Raw genomic sequence first — 6,326 nt, 5'->3', positions numbered from 1 at the left:
GGCAAAGAAAGAAAATTAAATAAGCATATTCTGAAATACTCTCAAGAACAACAGGAGCTATGCCAAATAATGAGCATAAACACAATATTTAACTAAATGCAGCTAAAACTGTCAAAACTTTCCATTTTTATTTGTGTCCAATTTTACCATTGCTGTGACCACTGTTGAAATGTCTTTGTTGCTACACTGGAAATATCTAGGCTACGAACTGAAAATTGACAAGCAAAAGAAGAAAATGTGTTTAAAAGACATTCTTGTTCATCTTTTGCATTCTCAGTGGGGCTGAGAGTTGGACTGCAATGTGGCTGTAGTGCTGTTGTACTCTGTCCAGATTCTCTTTTGAGGGTGGATGCACCCAGTTCCCAATTGCTGAGGGTTCACAGCTGCATCCCACACTGGGAATTGGCTCTGCCACAGAGAACTCCTGCCCAAGGTTACACTTCCTTCTGCAGAGAATGGTCCCACAGCTAATGGCTAGCTGCTGTAGGGATATAAATGTCTATCCGCCTTGCTTCCATTTGAGAGAACTTAAAGGACCATCTCAGCTCTAGAGGGCTCCTTGGGATCAGCTGAAGCCGCACTTGCAATTGAATTGGATGGAGGTCAGCTTCTTGGTCTTCCCAATCTTGCCACCCTGACTTTCTTACCAGTGTATCTCCCAAGAACACTTTTCCAATAAACTTTCTTTTTTTTTTTTTTTTGAGACGGAGTCTCGGTCTGTCACCCAGACTGGAGTGAGTGCAGTGGCACAATCTCGGCTCACTGCAAGCTCAGCCTCCCGGGTTCACACCATTCTCCTGCCTCAGCCTCCCGAGTAGCTAGGACTACAGGCGCCCGCCACCACATCCGGCTAATTTTTTGTATTTTTAGTAGAGACGGGGTTTTACCATGTTAGCCAGGATGGTCTCCATCTCCTGACCTTGTGATCCACCCGCCTCGGCCTCCCAAAGTGCTGGGATTACAGGCGTGAGCCACCGTGCCTGGCCTCCAATAAACTTTCTACTTCTACCTGTAGCTCCTCATCTCAGAATCTCTTTCCAAAGAACCCAATCTAAGTGAGTTGATACCGGGAGCTATCCCAGGAAGAAGACTCTAAATTTGGATTTTGGAGCTGCATCACCTGCCAGCTGGCTGACAAAGAGGCCCCACCACTAGTGGCAGGTAGAGTATAGATAGCACCAGGCATGCTTCAGTGGTGCAATTATTAAGCCTTTCACTGGTTGTACACTGGGATGTGATGCCAGTGGAAGGAGGAGCACTAACTGGTACAGTATGTCTGGCTTTTGAGATATTTGAGGGGAAAGGCAAATATAAGGATGGAATTGGGTGGCTGTTGAGTGCCATTGATTCATTAAAAGAGATAATGACTGGCTAAGAGTGATTAAGGACCAATTCGAGGGAAAAGTGAAAGCACCAAAGGTGCTACAGACTCTGGTTGATGGAGACTAGCTGGTACTTGGAGATTATGACCCCAAAAATGAATCCTGAGAGAGTGCTAGACAAAGGGGAGAGGAGGGAATTGTAAAGTTGGATGAGGGAGAGTTTATTAGCACAGAAGCTCTCTCTCAGAATACAGATTTGACACTCTGGCAAAGACCCTGGGAAACAATGCTCATACACTGCTAGGATGGCCCTTGGAAGCTTAGGCAAAGCAACAGGTCACACACTAAGTGAAGTAGAAATGCCAGAGCCAACATAACAGAGGGCAGAGGATAGAATAAGGACGTGGTCGGTAGAAGACAGAGTTCCTAGAGGCAAAATAAGTGGGCAGCAAATGAGACTAGTGCTTAACTGTTATAATCAGGGTGATCAGAAAGGTAAAGCAGCCACCCCAGTATGAACTGGGTATCCCCTGCCCAGTTTCCAAATATAAGCCTCGTCTCACATCCAGAACCCACTGAGTAAAGGAGAGGGAAGTTCCTTTGAAGAAAAACTTTGAAACATCACAGTAAATATATTCTGATGGTATGGTCAGAGACTAGAAATTATGAGAAGCCTGTGAGGTAGAGTTAGATTTGAAATATGAAGGCAAGACCATCAGCAAAAGTTGTCTGTAGTTTTGAAGGGATCCAGCCATGGTGTCATGTATGGCCCAAAGAGGGCCTAGAAAAGATATCTCACCTCTCTCCTCACCCTCCAATCTCCCCTGGTACCACTTTTTAGCAAATATTGGAAGCCAATTAACTGGCAAGGGAACTCTAGTGATGTGGTCTACAAGGATGAATCATTGCAGAGAAGGTGAAACATGGACGAAGGAGTGAGGAGAAATGGAGAAAACATTAAACACTGTAAAAGAGGTATTATTTCTTCTATTTAAACAGATGAGAAAACAGAGGCTATCCCCGTAACACAAGCAAAATTGCAGAGACCGAATTCCAACCTAGGACAAATTATTCCAGAGTCATTGCTTTTAATCACTACTGTATTTGCCTCTAGGCATCCTGACTTCTGGAAAATTTGAATCTTCATAAATTGCATAAATTATATTTTATGTTCCCAGAAGCACCTACAAGTTAGATTCTCAGTAAATATTAGGTGATAAAGTGGCAATACCCTAACGACAGACCTGGGAATTCAATCATAGAAAGTTGCTTGATGGCCAATTCATTTCAAAGGGGAGTATGCATCATGTGTGGGGGCTGCCAGCCCTAACAAAAGACAGTCCTTGCCATTCCGGCCTTATTGAAATGCTTGGCATGAAATGACAGTGGAGAGTATCCTACCCCCTACCAATTCTTTGTGCTTCCGGGCTGTGTACTCCTTGGCAGGGGTACATGAAAACTCCCCAGGGGATACATATCATGGTGATTTTAAGCAGATTCTTTTCCAGATTCTCAACTTCCATAGGCATTGTTTCTAAAATAAATTTGCCTAATAACGTATCTACAGGCTGCTAGTTCTCCTTTTCCCACCTCCCATCTCATAATGACCCTTCTCCCACTTTCCAAAAGAAAAGCATATCTCTCATTCAATCTGAAACTGACACAGTGACTTGTCCCATTGTTTACAAACCTCAGAGCCACTAAACAAAGGGACAATTGGAGACTACATTGCTCTTAAGGACCAGTACTTTAAGGACACATTAAGAAACATTAAAGGGCTGGCCAACTCATGGCAAGGATCCCTGCTTTAGCTAGCTGGCTTACTAGTTTTCGAAGTATCTAATTAGTTATTCATCCTAGAATTGGAGTTCCAAAATGAGATGATTGTCAGCAGGGTGCATGTTGATGTATTTATTTAAATTACAAAATAAAGTCAGACTTTTTCTGACAGAAAACAAGTCTTATTTGGCTGAATGATCTGACAATAAGAACTGGCTTTGTTAATTAGGTGATGTGGTGACATGTATCATAAGCGGAATGAGCTAAATTCACAGTTTTGAAAAACATGTATTTAAAACCCTTATGCAATAGACAATATGCTGGAAACTACATCTTTTGTAACTAATTAAATTTATGGCATGTCATCTTTAAAATGTGGGGGTACACACCCTTTTAAAAAATTCTTTTAGCAAGTACATGAGCAAAACAGTTGGAGGATGCTATTCTAGACCCTGTAGTAGAACAAATTTTAGCTCTGGAAGGGATGTGTTATTTGGTACAATTTCTTTATAGATAAGCAAACAAACAGAGAGAAATTAAATGACCTGCAACCAATGTGTGAGAGACCTAGGATCAGAACGCGAGGAGCCTGGTCCCTGAGGAATGTTCCCATTTGATGCGCTCCTCTCCTGGATTTCTGCCCTCTTTTCCACTCCCTCAACCTCACTCAAAAGCTCCTAATGCCAAAAGTAGATACTGGCTAAATAAATGAACAGCTCTCTTCAGAATAGAAGTGCAAAAGTAGGCAGAAGCTGCTCGGTTGCTTATCCTTCATGGACTCTAGCTGTGACACCAATGCAAAGAAGTGGGATGAAATCTGAGGAGTCTGAAGGATTAACATTAGTCACAAGGATATCCTGATTGGCCACAGGTTACCTCACGTCCTGGTCCAGCCATTGAACTGGAAGATAAATTTCACCCAAGCCTCATACAGTGATCACATCTGTCTCCTGAAATGTATGTTCCTTGAGCTTAGCCAGCTCCCTTTACTGCCAGACTTCAGCCTGACATCTGGTGGCTTCCCAACGTGCTTCCCTTTCCTACTTAATTAGCACAATGCTCTGGGGGATTCCACAGGCCCCTCACAGATGTCCAGTACCCCATGTCTCCGAAAACCATTAGATCACGATTTTGCTTACAGGCAATGAAATTATATCCCCTACGGATCCAGTTATAACTTCCCATGACATTTTTATGCTTTAGTTTCCTAGGAGGGTTTGTTTGTTTTTTGTTCTTGGGTTTTTTTGTTTTTTTTTTTGCGGGGGGTAGGGTGGAAGGTTGTTTGTTTGTTTGGGGTTTTTTTGTGGATTTTTTTTTTTTTTTTTTTTTACTATTCTGGAGAGCTTCTATTACTCTCTTCAGTTTAATTGGAAATGTTTACCTGCTTTGGGCTCAGAGGAATGAGGGATACATAAATTATCTCTGAGAGTAGGTGAGGGAAGTTGTTCGAGTTTGTTAGATTGCACTGACTTTCATGTGGAATGACTAATAGTGCTAACTGGATGAAAATCGAAAACCATATGTTAATAGCAAAAGAATCACCCATGTTAAATAGGCGTACGATTATACTGGAACATTTAATAAGCAAAGTACAAGGGCTGAGCTGACTCACAATAAAAATCATTGAAAGACATTAAGTGACCATCGATTCTGAATGGATGGCATTAATTTATGAGCAATCAATACTCTTTTAATTGGAATTTTGCTGTCTCTGGGTACCTACACAGCACAGTATATGAAGGCAAATGATAAATTCTCTTTGTTTTAGAGCTGAAAGCAGAGAATTGGAAAACAGTTCTTAGATTGGTGCCTTTATTCCACTCACTACTATCATTTAACTTTGAAATAAAATTAAAAGAGCAGCTCTACTTATCACGGAGACCACAAATCTAAAGAGGCATTCTCTCCCTCTGGATATTTAAATTCTTCCTTCGCAGAGGTCCACCCCCCACATCCTTATTATCCATTATTTAAAGAAAGCAAGGCCAGATACTTTAGAAATGGAATTTTACCCTCTTGGGAGATTAGATACTAGAAAAATCTATAGACCAGGCTCAGAGCTCCAGATTTCATTACAATGCCAACTCTTTTTTTTTTTCTTTTGAGATTGAGTCTCTCTCTGTCTCCAGGCTAGGCTAGAGTGCAGTGGTGCAATCTTGGCTCACTGCAACCCCCGCCTCCCAGGTTGAAGTGATTCTCCTGCCTCAGCCTCCCAAGTAGCTGGGACTACAGGCACATGCCACCATGCCCAGGTAATTTTTGTACTTTTAGTAGAGACGGGGTTTCAACATGTTGGCCAGGATGGTCTTGATGTCTTGACCTCATGATCCGCCTGCCTCTGCCTCCCAAAGTGCTGGTATCACAGGAGAGAGACACTGCGCCCGGCCCCAGTGCCAACTCTTACCACCCATGTGACTTCTCTGTGCTTCAACTGCAATATTAATAGAATGAGGATAATAAGATTTACTTCCTTAACATTGTGGTGAGGTTCAATGGGCAGAAACACCATACCTGTGTGACACAAGTTAGTATAACATTTGCCAATGAACACTTCTGGATGAATACTTCATATTCTAGCCTTAACTACTCACCTATTATTCCAAACTGAAACATCCCCCAAGATTTTAAGAGACAAGACAGCTCCCACAAACAGTACACCATGATCACATCTGTATTACGTTTCCTTGCTCTCCCTGCACCTCCAAAATTCACATCCTTCCCCATGTCATTTCCAGAAAAAGCCCACTGCCCTCTGAACTAGTCTGATCATGGCTTGTGGAACATCAGTCCCCCAGACCCCCTCCAATTCCAGACAAACCGGAGGATGGGGGGATGGTGCCCTGAAAACAAGGGCAGTGAGGGCAGATGCTGGAGGGGCCCGTTGTTGTGATTGGCCTGATTCTACAGCAAATCAGTCCTAAGCAGACAATTTCAACATAATCTCTCACCTCTCTGGACCAACAGTCAATGGAGAAATGGGAGAAGAAGAGCCCCTTAAAAGGATAAGTTGCAGCAAAACTGTGAAAGCCTTGAAATTGAGAAGAGAAACTGCCAGAAGAACAAACTGGAGTGTGTTATGCCCAAACGCATCATCTGTTCTGACAGGCAAATTTCACAAGGAGCCAAACCCTGACAATTCTCCTCCCCTGTGTTTTAGAAACCGCTTCCCTGGAAACCCCTTACTAAGCTGCGGCAGTCACACTACATTGCAGGTGCGCTCTTTGC

The 6,326-nt window shown here is 42.8% G+C and overlaps 1 annotated feature.

Annotated features, from left to right (window-relative positions):
- Positions 2,396–3,327: an enhancer, noted in NCBI's record as "OCT4-NANOG hESC enhancer chr21:27653974-27654905 (GRCh37/hg19 assembly coordinates)". NCBI's record gives its function as "activates a minimal SCP1, AML or CMV promoter by ChIP-STARR-seq in naive H9 embryonic stem cells {active_cell/tissue: H9 hESC(naive)}" and the evidence as "EXISTENCE:reporter gene assay evidence [ECO:0000049][PMID:30033119]".

This window comes from Homo sapiens, chromosome 21 (assembly GCF_000001405.40).
Source record: "Homo sapiens chromosome 21, GRCh38.p14 Primary Assembly".
NCBI classification, from domain to species: domain Eukaryota; kingdom Metazoa; phylum Chordata; class Mammalia; order Primates; family Hominidae; genus Homo; species Homo sapiens.
Note: the sequence above shows the minus strand (reverse complement) of the source record. Positions and strands in the feature narration are given on the sequence as shown.